Source organism: Homo sapiens, chromosome 3, assembly GCF_000001405.40.
Source record: "Homo sapiens chromosome 3, GRCh38.p14 Primary Assembly".
In the NCBI taxonomy this organism is placed as follows: domain Eukaryota; kingdom Metazoa; phylum Chordata; class Mammalia; order Primates; family Hominidae; genus Homo; species Homo sapiens.
This window is the reverse complement of record NC_000003.12, coordinates 170,243,040-170,269,056: the sequence shown is the minus strand read 5'-3', so window position 1 is coordinate 170,269,056 and position 26,017 is coordinate 170,243,040. Positions and strand designations below refer to the sequence as shown.

Here is a 26,017-nt window from a genome sequence, read left to right as displayed (position 1 = left end):
TGTGGTCCCAGGTACTCAGGAGGCTGAGGCACAAGAATCGCTTGAACCCAAGAGATGCAGGTTGCAGTGAGCTGAGACTGTGCCATTGCACTCCAGCCTGGGCGATAGAGCGGGACTCTGTCTTTAAAATAAAAAAAAAATAAATAAATAATAAATGAATAACTGACTTCTGAAGACAGACTGCTGCTTTCAAACTTTGGTTCTATCACTTACTAGCTGTATTATCTTGGGCAAGTTACTGCCCTGCACTTGAGTTTTGCCATCTATAAAGTGGAAACATATAGTACCTATCTTACAGGGTTGTTGTAAGGATGAAATGAATCAATGTATATAAGGCATTTGGAAAAGTGCCTGGTACGTAGTACAACCCAGATAAGTGTTTGCTATTATTATTTTCTAAACAGTGAAAATCAAATTACAACACTAACTGGAAAAATAAAGATTAATATTAAATAAATAAACCTTGCTTGTTTTCTGGTTGCCTTAAATTATATTTTAAAATTCAATTTTCTTACAGCTAGGGTATATTATGTGGAATAATTAATCATCCAATCTGGAGCTTTTTTTTTTTTTTTTTGAAACTGAGTCTTGCTCCATTGCCCAGGCTGGAGTGCAGTGGCACAATCTCGGCTCACTGCAACCTCTGCCTCCCAGACTCAAGTGATTCTCCTGCCTCAGCCTCCCGAGTAGCTGGGACTACAGGTGCATGTGACTGCACCTGGCTAATTTTTGTATTTTTAATAGAGATAAGGTTTTGCCATGTTGGCCAGGCTGGTATGAACTCCTGGCCTCAACTGATCCGGCAGCCTTGGCCTCCCAATGTGCTGGGATTATAGGCCTGAGCCACCACACCTGGCCTGGAGCATTTTTAAGAGTGAAAGAGATGCTATTAAAAATTATAGGCATACTGCCTCAGGCAAACTGGAAATGTAAGGTCATGCTACTTATGTATTTAAAAGTGTATAACAAGACTTAATAACAAACTACCTTTCTTTCATAGTAGAAAGGGAAAAAATAGCTGTTTCACATTATCGACATTCAACAAACTATGTTTACCCTGTTGAAACGCTTGGCTTGGAAAGTGTGGCCATTGGCACAATAAAGCTTTCTCCAGCGGCGTGCACCTCTACGGTAGATGGATTCTGAAGACAGAGTAATAGTTAAAAAAAGAAAAAAGAGCAAGTTTGAGTAAAAATCATTTTATAATTAAGTCTGTAATTTTTTCATGATACTCACTGCAAGAAAAAAAAATACTGATAAAAACCTGAACGTCAAAAAATAAAATAGATTCATCAAGGGACCAAAGAAAAATAAAGACCACAGAGTATAAATATTTGACTACTACTGCCTACTGCTTGTCCTTTTTTTTTTTTTTTTTTTTGGTGAGATGGAGTCTTGCTCTGTCACCCAGGCTGGAGTGCGGTGGCACAGTCTCAGCTCACTGCAACCTCCACCTCCCGGGTTCAAGTGATTCTCCTGCCTCAGCCTCCCAAGTAGCTGAGATTACAGAGATGCACCACCATGCTCAGCTAATTTTGTATTCTTAGTAGAGACAGGGTTTCTCCATGTTGGTCAGGCTGGCCTTGAACTCCCGACCTCAGATGATCCGCCCGCCTCGGCCTCCCATAGTGCTGGGATTACAGGCGTGAGCCAACGCGCCCGGCCTACTACTGCTTTTCTTTTTAAAAATTTTCCTCCAACTTTTTATTTTGAACATCTTTTAATCCCACAGAAAAGGTAAAAGAATAGACACCTGCATCTTTCACCGAGATTTACCAATTATTCATGTTTTGTCATATTTACTTTCATCACTACAAAAAAAATACTTTTTTTTTTCTGAATTACTTGGAAGTAAAATGCAGACATCATGGCACTTAAATACCCTTTAATACCCAAGTATCCATTGTCTGAGATTAAGGATATTCCGCACCCCCCCGCCACCCAATTCTACCTAACCACAATACCATTTACCATGTCTTAGAAAATCAACATTAATTCAATATCAACCAGTATACAATTCATATACAAACTTCCCTAACTGGTCTCAAAGTGACTTTCTTTTTTGAGACACAGTCTCACTCCATCACCCAGGCTGGAGTCCAGTGGTGCAATCTCAGCCCACTGCAACCTCCGCCTCCTGGGTTTAAGCAATTCTCCTGCCTCGGCCACCCGAGTAGCTGGGATTGCAGGTACACACCACCACACCCGGCTAATTTTTGTATTTTTAGTAAAGATGGGGTTTTGCCACGTTGGCCAGGCTGGTCTCAAACTACTGACCTCAGGTGATCTGTCTGCCTCAGCCTCCCAAAGCGCTGGGATTACAGGCATGGGCCACCATGCCAGGCCCCAAAGTGACTTTCAAAGCTCACTTTTTCTATCCAGGATGCAATCAAGATTCAGGGACTGCATTTGATCATGCTTTTTTTGGTCTCCTTAACATTTTAAAACATTCACTCTGCCTTATTTGTTGTTACTTCCTTTTCATTATGTTGACTTTTTTTTTTTTTTAAAGAGTCTGGTTAGTTGTTTCATATTATATCCCACATTCTGGATTTGTCTGTTTACTTACGATTAGAGGCAGTATTAAATACCTTTGGCAAAAATAACACATAGGTAGTGTTGTGTATTTCTTATCTCATTACTTTTCATGAGGTACACAAATGTCGGATTATCAACTCCCACTACTGATGTTCAATAACCATTAAAGGTAGTGACTGCTAGATCTCTTCATTGTAAAGGTACATTTCAGTCTTTGTAACTAATCTGTAAAGTGATATTTTGTACCAGAAGCATATCTTTTTCCCCAACAACTTTTCATCCAGTGGTCTTTATATTAATATGTTTCTCAAATATAGTTAGAGAAAGAGGTTCCAAACGATCAAATCTAGTCCACCTTCATATTTTTAAGTCCATCATTATTTTATATATTGTCTATTAGTCATTAATAATAACATCCCACAGTAATGGTAATAACAGTAATAGTTAATACCATAGAAAGATTACAACAGGTTCCCAAAGTCATATTTTAAAGCAAATATAGCAATGGGTTTACTATTTAAAATTAAGATACTAAAGACCAGTTGCAATGCTCTCAATTAGAAATCTCAGGATAGCTTAATACAGAATTGAAAGTTTAGGCCGGGCGCGGTGGCTCACGCCCGTAATCCCAGCACTTTGGGAGGCCGAGGTGGGCAGATCACAAGATCAGGAGATTGAGACCATCCTGGCTAGCACTCTACTAAAAATACAAAACCCCATCTCTACTAAAAATACAAAAAAAAAAATTAGACGGGCGTGGTAGTGGGCACCTAAAATCCCAGCTACTCAGGAGGCTGAATGGCATGAACCCAGGAGGCAGAGCTTGCAGTCAGCCGAGTTCTCGCCACTGCACTCCAGCCTGGGCGACAGAGCAAGACCATCTCAAAAAAAAAAAAAAGAAAAAGAAAGTTTAGAGCTATTTCGATTAATTCAAAGCAAAGCATTTACCACTATTCCTTCTAAAGTGATGGGCATGTGCAGAAACCACAAATGAAAATGAGTTGCCTAATATCCACAATTAGTAAATTATGCCAAAATACCAAAAGCAATAACTTACAATCAAACATAAGTTTGCATATTAAATTACATTAGAACAAAGAGTAGTTGGACACTCTTAGTTCATCTCATTAATAGTAACCATTGGCTTAGATATTCCAAAGAAATTCCGTTAACAATTCCTGACCTGGGGAAGCTTTTAAATGGTGGTTCTCAAACTTTAGTGTGCATCAGAATCACCTGAAGAGCTTGTTAAATCTGGTAGCTCAGCCCCAGTCCAAGAGTTTATGAATCACGTAGATTGGAGTGCAGTTTTTTTCTTTTTTTTTTTTTTGAGACAGAGTCTCGCTCTGTTGTCCAGATTGGAATGTACTGGCGCGACCTCAGCTCACTGCAACCTCCGCTTCCCAGGTTCAAGCAATTCTCCTGCCTCAGCCTCCCAGGTAGCTAGGATTACAGGTATGCACCACCACACCCAGCTAACTTTTTTAGTATTTTTAGTAGAGATGGGCTTTCACCATGTTGGCCAGGCTGGTCTTGAACTCCTGACCTCAGGTGATCTGCCTGCCTCAGCCTCCCAAAGTGCTAGGGTTACAGGCATGAGCCACTGCACCCAGCCTGGAGTGCAGTTTCTATTCAGTTCTCAGGTGAAGCTGATGCTGTGGGACCCAATGGCTACATTTTGAGAGTCCATTTTAAAATACAAAGATATCCAGATTTCACCTCCACACTAATTCATTAAGCTTGGGGATGGAAATTTGGCATTGATCATTCCCTCCATCCCACAATTTTAATGTGTCCAAGGGTAAGAATCACCGTTCCACTGTGGACTCTGGTTGGTTACCTGAAGTTACTAGGAATTGGAGATCTAATAAATATACACATTTCTCTGGGTCAACTGTAGGAAGTCTGCAATATTTAAAGACATTTAATAAGTGACTTGGGGCCAGGTGCAGTGGCTCACACCTGTAATCACAGCACTCTGGGAGGCTGAGGCAGGTGGATCACCTGAGGTCAGTAGTTCGACACCGGCCTGGCCAACATGGTGAAACCTCAACTCTACTAAAAGTACAAAAATAAGCTGAGCATGGTGTTGGCGCCTGTAATCCCAGGTACTCAGGAGGCTGAGGCAGGAGAATTGCTTGAACCCCAGAGGTGAAGGTTGCAATGAGCCAAGATTGCGTCACTGCACTCCAGCCTGGGTGAGAAAGCGAGATTCTGTCTCAAAAACAACAACAACAAAAGTGACTTAATACCTGTTTAAGTAAAAAACACTGCAGAAAAAAAAAAAGCCAATTCCTAATTACATGTGCTGAGTGTCATGTCAGTCTCAAGTGGTATAACCAAAAAAAAAAAAATGTGTTTGTTATGTATAACTGTGCATGCATATATGAGATATAGACAGATACAGAGATAAAGCAAACAGGGAAAACGTTAAAAATTGGTAAATCTGGGCAAAGGATATATAGGTATCCTTGTTTTCCATGTTGTTTCAACTTCTGTATAGGTTTGAACATTTCCAAAATTGAATTTTAAAACTTAAATTTAACTTAATATTCCTTTCATATGTGCAACAGGCAATCATGTAAGTTGTAACTAAGAACTATCTGAATTTGATCTGGCAAAGTAGCATTTGGGCAGTCACTAATATATTCTAAATTGACTGAAAAATGGAAAAGAAATCAAATGAATTAGAACTTCTATTTCCTTTTTTTTTTTCCCCTTGAGACAAGGCCTGTCTCTGTCACCCACACTAGAGTGCAAGTAGTGCGACCTTGGCTCACTGTAGCCTCAAACTCCTGGGCTCAAGGGATCCTCCCACCTCAACCTCCCAAGTAGCTGAGATTATAGGCACACACCATGCTAATTTTTTTGTGTGTTTTTGGAAAGACAAGGTCTCACTTTGTTGCCCAGGCTGGTCTTGAACTCCTGGGCTTAAGCGATCCTCCCACCTCAGCTTCCCACAGTGCTGGGATTACAGGCATTAGCCACTGTCCACTGCACCTAGCTAAAAATTCTATCTCTGATTTCTTTTTCACTTGTACCATAGCATAGTAACTCTTGTAAAAGGTATGAAGTATATAAACACTCACTATCTTCTCCTGGACAAGGCATCCCAGGACGTTCTGGTACACAAGGGAACACTGAAAGAAAATAAACGAACATGAGTTAACAGCATATTTAAAACATACAAATTACACAGAATTTAAAATTCAAATGTAAAAGAAACTGACCCAGATTTCAACCTGACCCTCTCTTCACTTGAGACAAGATACTTAGCATGTGATCAATATTATTTGCCAAAGGGATTCATTTTACCAAGGCCATATAAAAGAAGGTTTTTTTTTTTTTTTGAGACAGAGTTTCGCTCTGTCGCCCAGGCTGGAGTGCAGTGGCGCGATCTCGACTCACTGCAAGCTCCGCCTCCCGGGTTCACGCCATTCTCCTGCCTCAGCCTCCCGTGTAGCTGGGACTACAGGCACGCGCCACCATGCCCGGCTAATTTTTGTATTTTTAGTAGAGACGGGGTTTCACCGTGTTAGCCAGGATGGTCTCGATCTCCTGACCTCATGATCCGCCTGTCTCGGCCTCCCAAAGTGCTGGGATTACAGGCGTGAGTCACCGCGCCCGGCCACAAAAGAAGGTTTTATTTGCCTTGCTTTGTTGATGTTAAAAAAAAAAAAAAAAAAGAAAGAAAGAAAAAAGTTCTTATGAAAACAAACATGTCTATAAACAATGCATTAGGCTGGGCACGTTGGCTTACGCCTCTAATCTCAGCACTCTGGGAGGCCAAGGTGGGTGGATGACTTGAGGTCAGGGGATGCCAGCCTGGCCAACATGGTAAAACTCTGTCTCTACCAAAAAATACAAAAAAAATTAGCCTGGCATGGTGATGTGCCTGTAATCCCAGCTCCCTAGGAGGCTGAGGCCCGGGAATCACTTGAACCTGGGAGGCGAAGGTTGCAGTAAGCTGAGATCATGCCACTGCACTCCAGCCCAGGTGACAGAATGAGACACCATCTCAGAAACAAAAACAAAAACAAAACAAAACAAAAAAACCAATGCATCAGAAGCTCAAATGACTAATTCCAGTCCCTGTTACATCATGAATTATTTTCTTATCCTTAAAGAAATCATTAACTAATATCGCCTTAAATCCTTGGTATAGTAGGACAAGTTTGTCACAATGAAGGATGAAAATTAAATTACAAAAATGTATACAAATATGGAACATAAAATATTGGTTTTTAAAAGATGTATACTAAACTTAGGAATAAATTAACACCAGAAACAGTACCAAAATCAAAAATGTAAATTTACATTAGAAACTTTAAATGTATATACTAATTAAAACCATTTTTATAACAAGGTAGAATATAAAGCAACAATGTATTTATGAATATCTAGTCAGCTATTCTTAGTCTGTGATGTACTAAAGGACACAGTTTAATAAAGAGCACAGACTATAGGAAGCACAGTTCCTAATGCATATTTTTAAAAGCTGAAACGTAAGCTAGCTTCTGAAAACATCTGTGATGTAGTATTAAAAGGCAATAAGACTTAAAACTGACTGTTTAATACCATTCATCAATCACTTCTTTATGCATTCATTGTAATTTTATTCTGGAAAGAGATGACAAAAAAAATAGACTCTTAAAGCTCTTTTAGAATCTCAACAAAGTACATTATGGATCCCTTGTGAGTCACTATGTCAAATTCTGGAGGTAGAAAAAAATCAGGTCAGGCGTAGTGGCTGACGCCTGTAATCCCAGAACTTTGGGAGGCCAAGGCAGGCAGATCACCTGAGGTCAGGAGTTCGAGACCAGCCTGGCCAACATGGTGAAACCCCATCTCTACTAAAAATACAAAAATTAGCTGGGCATGGTGGTAGGCGCCTGTAATCCCAAGTACTTTGGAGGCTGAGGCATGAGAATCACTTGAACACAGGAGGCCAAGGTTGCAGTGAGTTGAGACTGTGCCACTGCCCTCTAGCCTGGGCAACAGAGTGAAACTGTGTCTCAAATAAAATATAAAATCAAACCACTGTTTTTTTTTTTTTTTTAAAAAAAAAACACTGTAAAGGAAAATACAAAGAAATAATAATAAGGCACTGAAATGATTCATTATACTTAAGGAAAGATTTACATTCGTTTCACTTTTTTAGAAGATTCCTAAGTCTGGTCTCATAGCTCTCAAAAATGTTCAACGAAATACTGTCAATATATTGCAATTAAATGCAGTATATTAAGAGGTTCTTGGCTGGGCATGGTGGTTCACACCTCTAATCCCAGCACTTTGGGAGGCCCAGGTGGTAGGACTCTTTGAGCACAGGAGTTTGAGACCAGCCTGGGCATCATAGTGATATCCGATCTATACAAAAAAAAAAAAAAAAAATTAGCCAGTCATAGTGGTGCGGCAGTGCCTGTGGTCTCAGTTACTCAGGAGGCTGAGGTGGGAGGATCGCTTGAACCTGGGAAGTCAAGGCTGCAGTGAGCTATGACTGCACCAATGCACTCCAGCCTGGGCAACAGAGCGAGAGAAACTGCCTCAAAAAAACAAACAAAAAAAAAGTTTTACATGACTTTTGATGGTTAGCATAGTTGAATGAAACACAAATTTGGAATCAGAATTCCTAGATTCACAATCCAGGTCTACAACGTGCCAGTTACAATGATAACTGAGTTTAGGTTACTTCTTCTATGCCACTTCCTACATCTCAAGGTTGCTGAGGTATAAACATATTAATGTCTCTAAAGCATCATGTAAATGGGCCTGGTGCAGTGGCTCATGCCTGTAATCTCAGTGCTTTGGGAGACCAAGGCAGGCGGATCTCTTGAGGCCAGGAGTTCGAGACCAGCCTGGCCAACATGGTGAAACCCTGTCTCTACTACAAATATAAAAATTAGCCAGCCATGGTGGTGCACACCTGTAATCCCAGCTACTTGGGAGGCTGAGATGCTTGAACCCAGGAGGCAGAGGTTGCAGTGGGCCGAGATCATACCACTGTACTCCAACCTGGGTGACAGAGTGAGACTGTCTCAAAAATAAAGGAATCATGTAAATAGTTTCACTATTAACCTTTAAGCAAAAGAAAGGATATTTAAGATACCTTACCTTTGGAGGTCATTATTTGTATACATAACAAAATTTCAAGTAGATGACTTAGATTCCCCAGGCTCTCAATTTTTAAGTTCTATCATAAATTTGCTGTGATACACTGAGATATCACATTTTAATATCCAACAAGACATACAGAGACCACAAAATTCCCCAGACTATAAGCAGCAGATTAATTTTACCTTCTGTAGCACGTGAGAAACTACTAAATAACGACAATTACTTAGGCATGAGTCACAGAGATTGAGAAAATGACATTAAGATTATGTTTCAAAATGGTGAAGAATAAAGAGTGATTTCAAAGAAATTATCAGTCTGGACGAGTATGAAATGACTACTCTCTTACCATGAATCAAGAGTTCAGAATCCTTGTTTAGCTCATAAAGTCTAAAGGCTTCTTCTAACTCCAACTGAGATGATACTGTACACGGGTCTCCTAAAAAACACAAAAGTAAAGTAAAGGTCACTTTAAAACCCCTAAATGTGATGATTACTAAACAAATTTCATAATGTAAATTTTTAGAAAAAATAATCTCATATTTATAAACAAATATATGACAAGGACAAATATTTATTTACTTATTATTATTATTATTTGGAGACAGAGTTTTGCTCTTGCCACCCAGGCTGGAGTGCAGTGGCATGATCCTGGCTCACTGCAACCTCTGCCTCCCAGGTTCAAGCGATTCTCCTGCCTCAGCTTCCCGAGTAGCTGGGATTACAGGTGTGTGCCACCACACCCAGCTAATTTTTGTATTAGTAGAGACAGGGTTTCACCATGTTGTCCAGGCTGGTCTTGAACTCCTGACCTCAGGTGATCCGCCTGCCTCGGCCTCCCAAAGTGCTGGGATTATAGGCGTGAAGCACCGTGCCTGGCCTAAGGACAAATATTTAGATATTTATTTAGACAATTCAATTTTCTGAAGTAGGTAACATATAACTTCCATTTCTATTTGCATAAAAATACCACATGAGGTTCACAGACACCAATGTATATAGATATAAAATTTTGTTCTTTGGTTTTCTTTTTTGGTGAGACAGGGTCTCACTCTGTCACTCAAGGCTGAATGCAGTGACATGATCACGGCTCACTACAGCCTCGACCTCCTGGGCTCAAGCAATCCTCCCGCCTGGGCCTCCCAAAGTGCTGGAATTATGGGCATGAGCCACCACACCTGGCCATTTTGTTCTTAACATTGTATATATCCCAAATACAGCAAACAGAATCTATTCCTGACCACATTTTTTTTCTTTTTTTTTGAGATGGAGTTTGGCTCTTGTTGCCCAGGCTGGAGTGCAATGGTGTTATCTTGGCCCACTGCAACCTCCGCCTCCTGGGTTCAAGCGATTCTCCTGCCTCAGCCTTCCAAATAGCTGGGACTACAGAAGTGCACCACCATGCCTGGCTACTGACCACAGTTTAAATTGTCACTGCTATGTGTCTAATGGGAAAGTCTAAAGAGGAGGCTTTCTGTTACCTGTTTCTTTAAAAGAGGAAGTGAAAGTAGTTCCATTGCCACAATACGATTAGTTAGAAGTCTCCATGTAATCATTTTATCAAATTTTTCCTTTCACATGACAGAGCCTCCTCAAAGGAGTCACAGAAATGAAAAGCTACAAAAGTACTGAAGAACAGTTGCACTTGAGCTGCTGTGAAATATAAATGAACAGTTTTAGTAACAGACACACAGAAGTGATGGAAAAAACACCTCCCTTACCCAACTAGCCAGACAACTGAGTCATCCCTGGCGATCAATGAGGTGGCACATCTGCCTGGACTATGGCATTCCTCAGTGAAAAAGTCATTCAGGCCAGGTGTGGTGGCCTGTAATCCCAACAGTTTGCGAGGCCGAGGCAGGCGGGTTGAGGTCAGGAGTTCGAGACCAGCCTGGCCAACATGATGAAAGCCCATCTCCACTAAAAATACAAAAATTAGCCAGGCACAGTGGTGTGTGCCTGCAGTCCCAGCTACTCGGGAGGCTAAGGCAGAAGAATCGCTTGAACCTAGGAAGCAGAGGGTGTAGTGAGTCAAGATTGTGCTACTGAACTCCACCCTGGGCAACAAAGCAAGACTGTCTCAAAAAAAAAAGAAGTCATTTAAAGCCTAGTTTGGACCTGAGCGAGTGAAAGTGAGTCCTTCACTCTGCCATTGATTTGCTAATTCCCATAGTTACTACACACTAGATGCCACCAACCCTATCCAAACCTCAATCACCAGCATACAGCTTGGTCTGCTAATTGAGAAAGAAAAACAAAGTCATTTTTTCCTGGCTACTCAAAGAAAAGAGTGCCTCTCCTTTTTTTTCTCCCACTTGACCACTGCATCCCTACTTCCTTTTATCTTCTCTGAGCTCCTCTGTTCCATTTTTTTCTTTCCTTCTATTTCCTAGCTCTTCTCAGGCAAAGGCGTTTCTGAGTCTCCCTCTCAAAAACCTCTTTCAGGCCAGGTGCAGTGGCTCACACCTGGAATCCCGGCACTTTGGGAGGCCAAGGTGGGTGGATCGCCTGAGGTCAGGAGTTTGAGACCAGCCTGGCCAACATGGTGAAACCCCGTCTCTACGAAAACACAAAAATTAGCTGGGCGTGGTGGCACGTGCCTGTTGTCCCAGCTACTCAGGAGGCTAAGGCAGGCGAATCGCTTGAACCTGGGAGGCGGAGGTTGCAGCGAACCGAGATCACACCATTGCACTCCAGCCTGGGCAACAAGAGCGAGACTTTGTCTCAAAAAAAAAAAAAAAAAAATTCTCTTTCCCATTCAGATTGACACTCCATTCATTCAGTAGCCACAAATCTCAAGAGTAAAACTAGAGACTAAAACTGGAGGAAACAGGTGAGAAGATGAGAAAGGAAAAGGGGCAGGGTTTTTTTTCACTTCATACTTCTCTTTAATATTTTAAAAATCATAAGTTTGTAATCTTTTATAATGAAACAACTTTTTTTCACATAGTGATCATATCCTTTCTCCATGTTCTTACCTTCCACACATTTCTCAAAATGCTGCTGCCAGGTTTTAGCCCAAACACTCCACCAAAACTGCGGTTGCAAAGGTCATGAAACCAGCTGCTGAAACCTATGACATCTTTTCAGTCCTTATTCTAGGTGATCTCTCTTGCAGTCCCTGACAAAGTTGCCCACTATTAAGAAATCCTGTGTCTCGGTTTCTAAAACACTATTCTCTAGGTTCACCACCTGTTCTTTTTAACTGTTTAATCTGGAAAATTTGAAACATATTTCAAAATGTTGTTTTCCCCTATATACCCACCCACTTATTCTCTACCATGGCAGCATTCTAAGAAAATCTCTATAACTCTAGATAAAAACTCCTTAGTATAATCCAAATATTGTTACTAACCTACAAAAACTAACAAGTATCTTCTCTGACCACAATGGAACAAAACTAGAAATCAGTAACAAGATGGACTTTGGGAACTACAAAAACACATGAAAGTTAACAATATGCCCCTTATTAAGCAGGGGGTCAATACAAAATTAAGAAAAAAATTGAAAAATTTCTTGAAAAAAATGAAAATAGAAACACAACTACTACCAAAACCAATGGGATACAGTGAAAGCAGTACTAAGAGGTGAGTTTATAGCAAGCAATAAGTGCCCACATCAAAAAAAGGAGAAAGGCGCTAAATGAACAAACTAATGATGCATCTTAAAGAACAAGAAAAGCGAGAGCAAACCAAACACAAAATTAGTAGAAGAAAAGAAGTAATAAAGATCGGGGCAGAAATGAATGAAATTGAAACAAAACACACAAAAGATCAACAAAATGTAAACTTGATTTTTTTGAAAAGACAAATAGTATCAACAAACCTTTAACCGGACTAAAAATAAAAGATACAAGACCCAAAGAAATCAAATCACAGATGAAAAAGGAGACAATACAACTAATACTGCAGAAACTCAAAGGATCATTAGAGGCTACGATGAGCAACTATATGCCAACAAATCAGAAAGCCTAGAAGAAATGGATAAATTCCTAGACACATACAACCTACCAAGATTGAACCATGAAGAAATCCAAAGCCTGACTAGAGTACTAACAAGTAATGAGATCGAAGCCATAATAAAAAGTCTCTCAGCAAAGAAAAGCCCAGGATCCAATGGCTTCAGTGCCATTTAAAGAAAAACTAATACCAATCCTACTCAAAATATTCCAAAATATGGAGGAGGAGGGAATAGTTTCAAACTCATTCTAAGACCCAGTAATACTCATCAGTATTACTAAAACCAGACAAATATGTCAAAAAGAGAGAAAACTACAGGTCAATATCTCTGATGAACATTGATGCAAAAATCCTCAACAAAACACTAGCAAACTGAATTCAACAACACATTAAAAAGATCATTCATCATGACCAACTGGAATTTGTTCCAGGGATGCAAGGATGGTTCAACACATGCAAATCAATCAACGTGATATATCACATGATAGAACAGAATAAAACATGATACAACAGAATAAAGGACAAAAATCATACTATCATTTCAATTGATGCTAAAAAAAGCATTTGGTAAAATTCAACATCCCTTCATGACAAAAATCCAAAAAAAACTGGGGATAGAAGGAACATACCTCAACACGATAAAAGCCATATAAGACAGACCCACACCTAGTATCATACTGAATGGGAGAAAATTGAAAGTCTTTCTCTAAGATTTGGAACAAGACAAGGATGCCCACTTTCACCACTATTATTCAACATAGTAATGGAAGTCCAAGCTAGAGCAATGAGACAAGAGAAAGAAATAAAGGGCATCCAAATTAGAAAAGAAGAAGTCAAATTATCCTTGTTTGCAGATGATATCATCTTATATATTTGGAAAAACCTAAAGACTCCACAAAAAAACTATTAGAACAGATAAACTAATTCAGTAAAGTCGAAGGATATGAAATCACCACACAAAAATCAGTAGCATTTCTATATGCCACAGCAAATAATCTGAAAAAGTAATCAAAAAAGTAATTCCATTTACAGTAACTGCAAATAAAAAAATACCTATGAATAAGTATCACAAAAGAAGTGAAAGATCTCAGCCAGGCGCGGTGGCTCACACCTGTAATCCCTGCACTTTGGGAGGCCGAGGTGGGAGGATCACCTGAGGTCAGGAGTTCGAGACCAGCCTGACTAACATGGAGAAACCTCGTCTCCACTAAAAATACAAAATTAGCCAGGCATGGTGGTGCATCCCTGTAATCCCAGCTACTCGGGAGACTGAGGCAGGAGAACCACTTGAACCCGGGAGGTGGAGGTTGCAGTGAGCTGAGATCGTGCCATTGCACTCCAGCCTGGGCAACAAAAGTGAAACTCTGTCTCAAAAAAAAAAAAAAAAAAAAAAGTGAAAGATCTCTTTCTTTACAATGAAAATCATAAAATACTGATACAAGAAACTGAAGAAGACATACACATTAAAAAAAAAAAAGGAAAGATATTCCATGTTCATGGATTGGAAGAATCAATACTGTTAAAATGTCCATACTACTGAAAGCAATCTACAGATTCAGTGTAATCCCTATCAAAATACCAATAACATTCTTCACAGAAATAGAAAAAAATCATTGTAAATTTATATGGAACCACAAAAGACCCAGAATGGCCAAAGCTAGCCTGAACAAAAAGAACAAAACTGGAGGGATCACATTCTATGCCTTTAAATTATACTACAAACTGTAGTAACCAAAGCAGGATGGTGCTGGCATAAAAACAGACACATAAACCGATGGAACAGAAGAGAGAACCCAGAAATAAATCCATACATCTAGAGTGAACTCATTTTTTACAAAGGTGCCAAGAACATAACACTGGGGAAAAGACAGCCTTCAATAAATAAGACTGTCAATAAATAGTGCTGGGAAAACAAGATATCCACATGCAGAAGAATGAATGAAACTAGACCCCTATTTCTCGCCATATACAAAAATCAAATCAAAATGAATTAAAGACTTAAATCCAAAACCTCAAACTATGCAACTACTAAAAGAAAAAACTGTGGAAACTCTCCATGACACTGGTCCAGGCAAGTAATTCTTGAGTAGCACCCCGCAATCACAGGTAATCAAAGCAAAAATAGGTAAGTGGGATCACATCAACTTAGGTTTCTGCAAAACAAAGCAATCAAAAAAATGAAGAGACAACCCACAGAATGGGAGAAAATATTTGCACACTATGCATCTGACAAAGGATTAATAACCAGAATAGACAAGGAGTTCAAACAACTCAATAGGAAAAAAAAAACCTAATAATCTGATTAAATAATGGGCAAAAGATATGAATAGACATTTTTCCTTTTTTTTTTTTGGAAACGGATCTTGCTCTGTCACCCAGGCTGGAGTGCAGTGGCGTAATCTTGGCTCACTGCAACCTCTGCCTCCTGGGTTCAAGTAGTTCTACTGCCTCGGCCTCCCAAGTAGCTGGGATTGCAGGCACGTGCCACCATGCCCAGCTAATTTTTGTAGTTTTAGTAGAGACAGGGTTTCACCATGTTGGCCTGGCTGGTCTGGAACTCCTGACCTCAAGTGATCCGCCCGCCTCGGCCTCCCAAAGTGGTGGGATTACAAGCGTGAGACACCATCCCTAGCCCTGAATAGACATTTTTTTTTATTTTAGATGGAGTCTTGCTCTGTCGCCCAGGCTGGAGTGCAGTGGCACGATCTCGGCTCACTGCAAGCTCTGCCTCCCAGGTTCATGCCATTCTCTTGCCTCAGCCTCCTGAGTAGCTGGGACTATAGGCACCTGCCACCACGCCCGGCTAATTTTTTGGATTTTTAGTAGAGACGGGGTTTCACCATGTTAGCCAGGATGGTCTCGATTTCCTGACCTCAAGATCTGCCCACCTCAACCTCCCAAAGTGCTGGGATTACAGGCGTGAGCCACTGTGCCCGGCTCCTGAACAGACATTTTTAAAAGGAGACATACAAACGGCAAACAGGTATATGAAAGGGTGTTCAACATCATTGATCATCAGGGAACTGCAAATCAAAACTACATCAAGATATCATCTCATTCCAGTTAAAATGGTTTTTATCCAAAAGAGAGGCAATAACAAATGCTGGAAAGGATATGCAGAAAAGGGAACCCTCACATGCTGTTGGTGGGAATGTACTTTAGTACAGTCACTATGGAGAACAGTATAGAGATTTCTCAGAAAACTAAACACACACCTACCATATGATCCAGAAATCCCACCACTAGATATACACCCAAAAGAAAGGAAATCAGTATATTGAAGAGATATGTACACTCCCATATTTATTGCAGCACTATTCACAATAGCCATGATTTGGAAGCAACTTAAGTGTCTAGCAATACAATGGGAGTACTATTCAGCCACAAAAAAGAATGAGATCCTGTCACTTGCAACAACATGGATGAAACTGGAAGACATTGTGTCAAGTGAAATAAGCCAGATACAGAAAGACAAACCTTATGTTCTCACTCATTTGTGGAAGCTAAAAATTAAAACAGTTGAACTCATGGAGATAGAGAGTAGAATGATAGCTACCAGAAGCTGGGAACGATAGTGGTGGAGAGTGGGTACAAAACTATACTCACACAGAATGAGTAAGATCTAGTATTTGGTTCAAGACCACCCCGGGCAACACAGTGAGACCTCCATCTCTACAAAAAATTTTAAAAAACAGCCAGGAATGGTGGCTCAAGCCTGTAGTCTCAGTAGGCTGAGGCAGGAGGACTGCTTGAGCATGGGAGGTCAAGGCTGCAGTGAGCTGTGATCATGCTACTATACTCCAGCCTGAGCAAGAGTGAGACACTGTCTCAGAAAAAAAAAAAGGTTAGAAAAAGTAAAAAAGAAAAAAAAGATCTAGTACTTGATAGCACAACAGGGTAATTACAGTCAACAAAATTTATTGTATATTTAAAAATAACTAAAAGAGTATAATTGGAATATTTGTAACACAAATAAATGATAAATGCTTGAGGTGATGAATATCCCATTTACGCAACATGATTATGCACTGTATGCCTGCATCAAAATAGCTCATGTACCCCATAAACACATACACCTACTATGTATCCATTAAAATTAAAGTAAAAAATTAACAAAAAAAAGTCTGCCCATTTAAAATTTGGCCAAGTATTTCCAACTGTCCTCCAAAAGAGTTATGACACATACATTCATTCAACCAACAGGGTATCTTTCCTAATTTCTTTTTTTTTTTTTTGAGACGGAGTCTCGCTCTGTCACCCAGGCTGGAGGGCAGTGGCGCAATCTCGGCTCACTGCAAGCTCCGCCTCCCAAGTTCATGCCATTTTCCTGCCTCAGCCTCCCCAGCAGCTGGGACTACAGGCACACGCCGCCACGCCTGGCTAATTTTTGTATTTTTAGTAGAGACAGGGTTTCTCTGTGTTAGCCAGGATGGTATCGATCTCCTGACCTCAGGATCCACCCACCTCGGCCTCCCAAAGTGCTGGGATTACAGGCGTGAGCCACCGCACCCGGCCAATCTTTCCTAATTTCTTTTTTTTTTTTGAGACAGTCTTGTTGTTGCCCAGGCTGGAGTGCAGTGGCGTGATCTCGGCTCACTGCAACCTCCACTTCCTGGGTTCAAGCAATTCTTCTGCCTCAGCCTCCTGAGTAGCTAGGACTACAGGCGCCCACCACCATGCCCAGCTAGTTTTTGTATTTTTAGTAGAGACAGGGTTTCACCATGTTGGCCTGGCTGGTCTTGAACTCCTGACCTCAAGTGATCCACCTGTTTTGGTCTCCCAAAGTGCTGGGATTACAGGTGTGAGCCACCACACCTGGCCCTAATTTCTTAGAGATAATTACTAAATTCTGTATTTTCCAGTCCAATAGGTGAAAAGTAATGTCTCACTTTAATATTTCAAAACTTCTTTAATTATTAGTGATTTTTGAGCCTGTTATTTATGAATTGACTATTTATACCTCATTATGTAGATTTTTCATCTATTTCTTCTTGGCATTTATTGTACAATAGAGATAGTAATCCTTTGTTGTAAATGTTGCAAATATTTTCTCTCAGTTGTTACTATTCCTGTATACAACATTAGGAAAAGTCTTCTCTTTCCAAACTTTCTTTTTCAAAATTTTCCTGTTTATTGTTGAGCATTTATTTTTCCTGATGAAATTTTTGTCAGATTTAAAATCCTGTTGGAAATTTGGGAGAAATGTTTTCTTCACAGATTGATATGCAGGGAATTCACTTTGTATAATGTTGCTTTTTCCCAAACCATTCATTCAAGTTTCGTTTTATGACACTCAATTGAGTTTCTTGTTTCTTTATATAGTTTCTTCAAATTTCTCTAAGGTTTATTACTAGATTTTTTTTAAAACCTATTTTTATGTCGCTACTGTGGATTAAATATTTTCTTTGAATATACTTTCTGATTGAGTATTTTCAATCTGTAGGAAGGAAAGTTACTGGTTTTCATATGCTCATTTTATAAGTCTTAGTATTGATATTTTAAGAGGCTAGATGAAAGAGAGTGAGGTCAACATGATTTAACCACACTACACAGGTACACTATTTTTGATCAAAACTCAGTACACTGATAAATAACAAGTCTAAGTGTATATAGAGAAATTGGAATTCTCATACACTGCTGGTAGGAAGGTAAATGGTGTAGCCACTCTGGAAAACTGGCAGTTCCTCACAAGGTTAAACAGTTACCATATGAAATGAAAACATATTCACACAAAAAGTTGTAACCAAATGTTCGTAGCAACATTACTCACAATAGCCAATTGTCCATCAATTGATAAATGGATAAATAAAATATGTATATCCATACAATGGAATATTATCCACCCATAAAAGGAATTAGTAATGACACTGTATAGGAAATGTCTAGAATCAGTCTATCTGTAGAAACATATCGTGGATTAGTGGTTGTCTAGGTCTGGGGCCTGCAGAGAAAGGGGTAGGGGGGAAACAAGTAGCAACTGCTAATAGACACGAGATTTTTTTTTGGGGGGGGGGGGTTGGTAATGAAAATGTTCTATAATTGATGGTGATAACAGCTGCACAACTCTGTGATTATACTAAAAACCAATGAATTGTACACTTTACATTGGTGAATTATATCTTAGCAAAGTTGTTTTTTTTTTTTAAAGAATGTGGAGTCTAGCTTTTTTTTTTTTTCAGACCAAGTCTCACTCTGTCACCCAGGCTGGAGTGTGGTGGTGACACCTCGGCTCACTGCAACCTCCAGCTCCCAGGTTCAAGTGATTCTCCTGCCTCAACCTCCCTAGTAGCTGGGATTACAGGTGTGTGCCACCACGTCCAGCTAATTTTTTTGTTTTTGTATTTTTTTAATAGCGACAGAGGCCAGGCTGGTCTCAAACTGCTGACCTCAGGTGATCCACCGGCCTAGGCCTCCCAAAGTGCTGGGATTATGGGTGTGAGCCACCATGTCTGGCCAGAGTCTAGCATTTTTACAAAAGTAAGTTTGCCTGCAAAGTAGCATTCTAGTCCAGGAGCAAAGTTTACAAATCTGTTTTATTTTTCCTCAAAGAAATAAAGTAATTCATTAAAAAAAGACTCCCTTTTTCAGTTACGTAAATTTATCTCATTTTGCCACAAATATGAAAGTTGGTATCATTTTTTTTTTTTTTTCTGAGACAGAGTCTCACTCTGTTGTCTAAGCTGGAATGCAGTGGCATGATCTTGGTTCACTGCAGCCTTGACCTCCCAGGCTCAAGCCATCCTCCTACTTCAGCCTTCCAAGGTGGGAGCTGAATCCCACAGGCTCATGCCACCATGCCTGGCTTTTTTTCCTTTCTTTTTTTGTAGAAACAGCGTCTCCCTATGTTGACCAGGCTGGTCTTAAACTCCTAGGCTCAAGCAATCGTCTCACCTTGGTCTCCAAAAGTGCTGGGATTACAGGCGTGAGCCACCACGCCCAGCTAACACTTCATTTCTAATGTTCCAGGTGAGAAAACTGAGTCCAGACTGTTTTTTAAACAAGATATACATACACACATAAACGCACACACGCACTCTCTCTCTCTCTCCTTTCTCTCTCTCTCTCTGTCGTAAATGATACCAATGAGTGTTTTATAAGCATCCTGGCTTTTCAAAATCTAAACATTAAAACCTTAAGTCCAAATTTCCCTAGACTCGCTGGCTGATTTTGATGTCCCAGAAAGCAAAAAAAAAGATTGAACCAAATCAAATACATAGCAAACTGTGATTTCCACATTTCAAGTGACTTCTGCAGTTAGGATGATTTTACTGTAGTAGTCTATAATGAAAAAAGCCAATTCTGGCCGGGCGCGGTAGCTCATGCCTGTAATCCCAGCGCTTTGGGAGACCGAGGTGGGCAGATCACGAGGTCAGGAGATCGAGACCATCCTGGATAACATGGTGAAACCCCGTCTCTACTGAAAATACAAAAAAATTAGCCAAGCGTGGCGGCGGGCACCTGTAGTCCCAGCTACAAAGGAGGCTGAGGCAGGAGAATGGCATGAACCTGGGAGGTGGAGCTTGCAGTGAACTGAGATCATGCCACTGCACTACAGCCTGGGTGACAAAGCAAGACTCCCTCTCAAAAAAAAAAAAGAAAAGAAAAAGAAAAAAGCCAATTCTGACCATCTCACTTTTGCTGTACATCATCTTTTTATCAGGCCAGTATCTGCTTGCTGTTAGTTAAAACCTAAGCCAGATCAAGTACTTGCTTTCAAAATGTACCTAGAGACCAACACTTCTGAATAACCATAAGGAAGTATGAAAATAAGAGTTACTGATTCTACGTATGTTCAAATCCATTTTGTTTTTCTTGGACTGAATGTTCAAGTATTACCTGTTTCGGCCAACTGCTTAATGCTTGATAAAACTCAATGCATAAGCGTGAAGCAAAACATTCCATGCAGTCATCATGAAACTAAAATGAGCAGAAAAGCTATTTCTCAAAGCCCACTCTATTACAAAAGTCTAAATTCACATCCTAGAGCAGGAATACATCCAGAGTGAGAATTGTTCAGTGCAGTGAACTTCAAGGTAATGAAATCTGTATATTAACCAGCAGGTTTTTTCCCCCCCCCAATATATCTACTGTTTTTGTTTTTGTTGCTGCTGTTGTTCTTTACCTACAAAAAGAAAGCAGCAAATTAGGGCATTAGACCTCAAAAAGTTAGGTAAATATTCACAATCCAATTATTTATATGAGATAACCTGACAGGATGTAGAACATGAAACATATATGTAACTCTTGTTTTATTTAGTTATTTCAGTATATGCCTAAATTCAGTGCCCCACATTTCAAAGAACACAGCCTAATACCAAAGTTGGCAACCTCTGAGACAGTATCACACATTCTTCTCCCTGATGTCTGAGTTAGCCACAGACTCACAGACTCTCACTCTCTGTTCCCACTAGGACCTTCGTACTGCCATCCTGCCTCTGGATATGCAGTCAGAACACTAAACCACTTGCAAAAGTCACTGTACTCCCTTACTGTAAAGGGTTACACTGCTTAAAATACAGATTTGCAAAAATTTTCCAAGGATGCCATAATTTTTAGGTGGTCATCCTTTCACTATCAGGCCCAATAACAACAGTAGTGAATTTTTGGCTTGTTGCTTCCTTTTTCTGGGAGGTGGAAGTCAGTGGTTACAGAAATACATGCCATCCCATGAAGCCGCTCATCCTCAACTTTTTTTTTTTTTTTTTTTTTTTTTTTTTTGAGACAGAGTTTTGCTCTTGTTGCCCAGGCTGGAGTGCAATGGCACGATCTTGGCTCACTGCAACCTCCACCTCCCAGGTTCAAGTGATTCTTCTGCCTCAGCCTCCCAAATAGTTGGGATTGCAGGCATGCACCACCACACCCAGCTAATTTTGTATTTTTAGTAGAGACGGCATTTCTCCATGTTGGTCAGGCTGGTCTCGAACTCCCGACCTCAGGTGATCCGCCCGCCTCTGCCTCCCAAAGTGCTGGGATTACAGGTGTGAGCCACCGCATCCAGCCTCAACATTCACATCAGGAGAGATGAAGTAATAGGAATAGACATAACCCTCCCTCTAAAACAATTTTAAAACACTGGATTAAACAGTGGTTTAAGGCTAGCTGCAGTGGCTCACGCCTGTAATCCCAGCACTTTGGGAGGCCAAGGTGGGAGGATTGCTTGAGTCCAAGAGTTCAAGACCAGCCTGGGCAACATAGCAAGATCCCATCTCTATTTAAAAAAAAAACTAAAAAAGTAGCTGGGCATGGTGGCGCACACCTACTTGGGAGGCTGAGGTGGGAGGACTGCTTGAGCCTGGGAGGTCAAGGCTGCAGTGAGCCATGACTGTACCACTGCACTCCAGGCAAAGACTCTGTCTCCAAAACAAAACAAAACAAAAAAGTCTTAAAAGCAGCCAAAGAGATGCTTCACATACAGAAAGGAAGTTGATAGCAGATTTTGCATCAGAAACAATGCAAGCTATAAGACAGGGTACTGAACGAGAAAAAAAAACAAAAACTTCCAACCTGGAGTTATTTACCAATCACAATCATCTTTCAAAAACACAAAAACAAAGGTGACCAAGCATAGGTAAATTCATAGACAGAAAGTTTAATACAGGTTACTAGGGACTGCAAAAGGAGGGATAGGGAGTTATTGTTTAATGGGTACAGTTTCTGATTGGGATGGTGAAAAGTTCTGGAAACAGAAGGATACTGTTAATAGTTGTACAACACTGTGAATGTGCTTATACCACTGAACTGTACACTTAAGAGTGGTCGAACTGGTAAATTTTCTTATTTATATTTAATTACAATAAAAAAATTTTTAAAGGGTACACTAGTTCTCTAACTACATTAACAGATCTCAAGACATCTGCTGGGCATGGTGGCTCATGCCTGTAATCCTAACACTTTGGGAGAGCAAAGCGGGAGGATCACTTGGGCTTAGGAGTTTTGAGACCAGCCTGGGCAACATAGCAAGACTCTGTCTCTACAAAAAATAAAATAAAAAATTTAGGCTGGGCCCAGTGGCTCAGCCCTCTAATCCCAGCACTTTAGGAGGCCGAGGCGGGCGGATCACTTGAGGTCAGGAGTTCAAGACCAGCCTGGCCAACATGGCAAAACCCTGTTTCCACTAAAAGTACAAAAATTAGCTGGGCATGGTGGCAGGCGCCTGTAATCCCAGCTACTCAGGAGGCTGAGGCAAGAGAATCACTTGAACACGGGAGGCGGAGGTTGCAGTGGGCTAAGATCATGCCACTGCACTCCAGCCTGGGCGGCAAGAGCGAGCACTACAGCCTGGGTGACAAGAGCGAGACTCTGTCTCAAAAAGAAAAAAAAGAAAAAAAATTAGCTGGGCGTGGTGGAGCACTCCTGTAGTTCCAGCTACTCGGGAGGCTGAGGCAGGGGGACTGCTTTAGCCTGAGAGGTAGGCTGCAGTGAGCCATGATCACACCACTGCATTCCAGCCTGGGTGACAAAGAAAGGATTTGTGTCAGAAAAAAAAAAAAAAAAAAAAACAAAGACATAACATCCAGGGAAAAAAGAGACATTTCAGAATATGGGATATATAATGTCATTTATTAAAAAGTACAAAAACACTGTGCTTGAGCCAGGAGTCATGGTGTGCATCTGTAGTTTCAGCTAGGAGGACTGCTTGAGCCCAGGAGTTGGAGGCCAACCTGAGCAACACAGTGAGATCCTGTCTTTCAAAAACAAAAAAACCCACTATATTTTGTCATTTATATGTATGGAATAGTGACAGAAAGCAGATCAGTGATTGCCTAGGGATGGAGAAGTGAGAGTAAGGAGAAAACAGTGTGGGGATCATAAGTGTATCCCGTGTGAACAGTGGTCTATGAGGGAGAGGAAGAAGACAGGGCAACTGGAGACGGGATGCCAATGAGGAGGACAGACCTTCCCAGATACTGGAGCAGATGATAGCATCTAAGGTCCCCAATACCGCCTCAAGACCCCCATAGCCTCTCTTGCCTCATAAATAAAAAACTGTTTCTCCACTCACAATGCTTCCGACACCAGATGTGTGAGTTTTCCAGAAGCAAATCTATTCTCTGTGGAGACCAATCGAGCGTCCTACAATTTAATTAAATTCTGACACCACCTGGAGTTAGCACAGACCCCCGTAGGTTTAGGGCTCAGTCCCACAGACTACCCCCAACTTCAGATGCTAATTGCAAGTAGTGGATCCTCAAATTAGCCACAAATCAGTCAAATTAGTCTGACTTGGCTACAAACTGGGCATTCCCATGTTGGGACTCAGTAACCAATACCTCAGGGTCTCTCTGACTTCCCCCAACCACCCACCCCTACAACTGACTTCTCCCAAAGTCAGAATGACGTTCTCTGAAGTTCCTTTATCGCCTAAAATCCAGACCCACCGAGAACAACTGTTTTGCATTCCCCTCCCAGTAAGACCAAGAATGTAATCACACCTGAACAGATCCTTCCACAAGATAATGTACAAGTTAATCTCCCTTCCCTGATCCATTCATTCTTCCTAGTAATCCTCACAACAGAATTCCTCTTCTCCCTTCTCCTATAACCTGTTTTATTTAATTAATTAATTTTTTAGGCTAGTCAAGTGAAGCAGTGGGAGTGGAAGGAACAAAGAAATCTGTAACTGGCTGTGATCAATTAGCTGTAAACACCACTGCACCTGGACCAGCCATATAACCTGTTTTGCCAGGATATTATACATGCTTCCGAACCCCATTGGGGGGTGAGTAATCTCTGTGGTTCCCCCGTGTACATGTAATAAAATCTGTATGACTTTTCTCCAATTAATCTGCCTCTTGTGAGTTGATTTTTCAGCAAACCTTTGGAGATCAATGGGGAAGCTTTTCCCTGGCCCCTACACCCACAACCCCCTCCTCATGTTAAACAATTTGCTACAAAAACACTTTATTATAAAGGATATTATAAAGGATACAAATGAACAGCCAGATGAAGAGGTAATGGGACAAGGTACGGGGGGACACAGAGCTTCCAAGCCGGGTCCAGATGTACCACCCTCCCAGGACCTTGATTTGTTCACCGAGCAGGAAGCTCTCTGAACCCCTACATTTTGAGTTCTTAAGGGGGTCCCATTACCTAAGCAAGACTGATTAAACCACTGGCTGCTGGTGATTAACTCCATCTCCAGGCCCCTCTGCCCTCCTCAGAAATAAGGGGGAGGTAGGCTGAAAAGTCCCACCTTAGAGATAACCACATGGTTGATTCCTCTGGCAACCAGAAGCCATCCTCCAAGAGCCACCTCATTAGCATAAAATCAGGTTTGGTTGGCAGGGGCTTATCATAAATAACAAAAGATGCTCTTCTCACTTCTATTACTCAGGATCTCATGGGAATCAACAGACCTTAATGAAAAATTTAACCTTTTACTTGAACAAGGGTTTTAGGCACTGTCAGGAACCAGCGATGAATAGCAGATACATTTTTTCATTATATTATAGTATCATACCTCACTTCTGAATCCATCCCCACTCCACCACTGCCAAGGGTTTCTCCCAGGTGAACCCCAGTCTAATTCCTTTTTCTCCCAGGCCTCCAGACAGCCTGGTGTGTAAAAGATGGCAGCCAGAATTTCCTGGGCATAAGGTCCGTCTGAAGAACAGAGCTGGGGCAGAGGCCAGAACTAAGAGAAGTAGCTGGGGACATCTCTAAGTCAGCTATCTTCTAATTGGAATACAGTACCCCTGGAGTGCAGGAAAACTTTTCAGGGACTAACAGGCATAGACAGTTTTTAAAAGGAATCAATTTCCTGATCCTCAACTTCCTTGTGAATTCCTTACTAAAAACCATCTGCCCAAGGATGTGCCTGGGATGAAGTGCCCCATCTCATCTCCTTTTCAAAATCTTCTTTTTCCATTTTATAAAAGCAGCATATATACCTACCACATGATCCAGCTATTCTATTTCTAGGTTTGACTCAAGAAAAATGGAAATATATTTCCATACAAGGAAGGACTTGTACATGACTGTTCATAGCACCTTTATTTAAAACAGCCAAAACCAAAAACAATCCCAATGATCTTCAACAGATTAATGAATTGTAGTACATCCACAGGATAGAATACTACTCAGCAATAAGAAGGAATGAACTACTGATACACACATCCCACCAAAAAGTACATGCTATATGATGATTCTATCCATATAAAATTCTAAAAAATGCAAACTAATCTGTAGTAACAGAAAGCAGATTAGTAGTAGCCTGAGGACAAAAGAGCAGGAGTGAGGCACTGCTTAGCACAAGGAAACATTTGGGGATAACAGATACGTTCTCTACCTTGCTTGTGCTGATGGGTTCCTAGGTATCAAAACTCATCCAACTGTAAAGTTTTAATATGTATAACTTATTATATATATTATGTATACATATATATGTCAATTATACCTCAATAAATCTA

The 26,017-nt window shown here is 40.7% G+C and overlaps 1 protein-coding gene across 3 annotated transcripts in view, besides 1 other annotated feature; it reads right to left on the bottom strand.

Annotated features, from left to right (window-relative positions):
- The window catches only part of PRKCI (protein kinase C iota), an 83,554-nt gene that overhangs the window by 36,921 nt on the left and 20,616 nt on the right, over positions 1-26,017 (bottom strand). For 2 of the 3 annotated variants that reach the window (NM_002740.6, XM_047448574.1), the window contains exons 3-5: positions 8,999-9,088; positions 5,628-5,678; positions 1,057-1,142 (exon numbers count right to left, since the gene is read on the bottom strand). In NM_002740.6, coding sequence (NP_002731.4) covers positions 1,057-1,142; positions 5,628-5,678; positions 8,999-9,088 — 227 coding nt within the window. Of the gene's footprint in view, positions 1-1,056; positions 1,143-5,627; positions 5,679-8,998; positions 9,089-10,130; positions 10,298-26,017 lie in introns of those variants that run through there. The other variant, XM_047448575.1, reaches the window with a different exon arrangement.
- Positions 20,970-21,039: a silencer, noted in NCBI's record as "silent region_14883". NCBI's record gives its function as "represses an Ori minimal core promoter by ATAC-STARR-seq in GM12878 lymphoblastoid cells {active_cell/tissue: GM12878}" and the evidence as "EXISTENCE:reporter gene assay evidence [ECO:0000049][PMID:35858748]".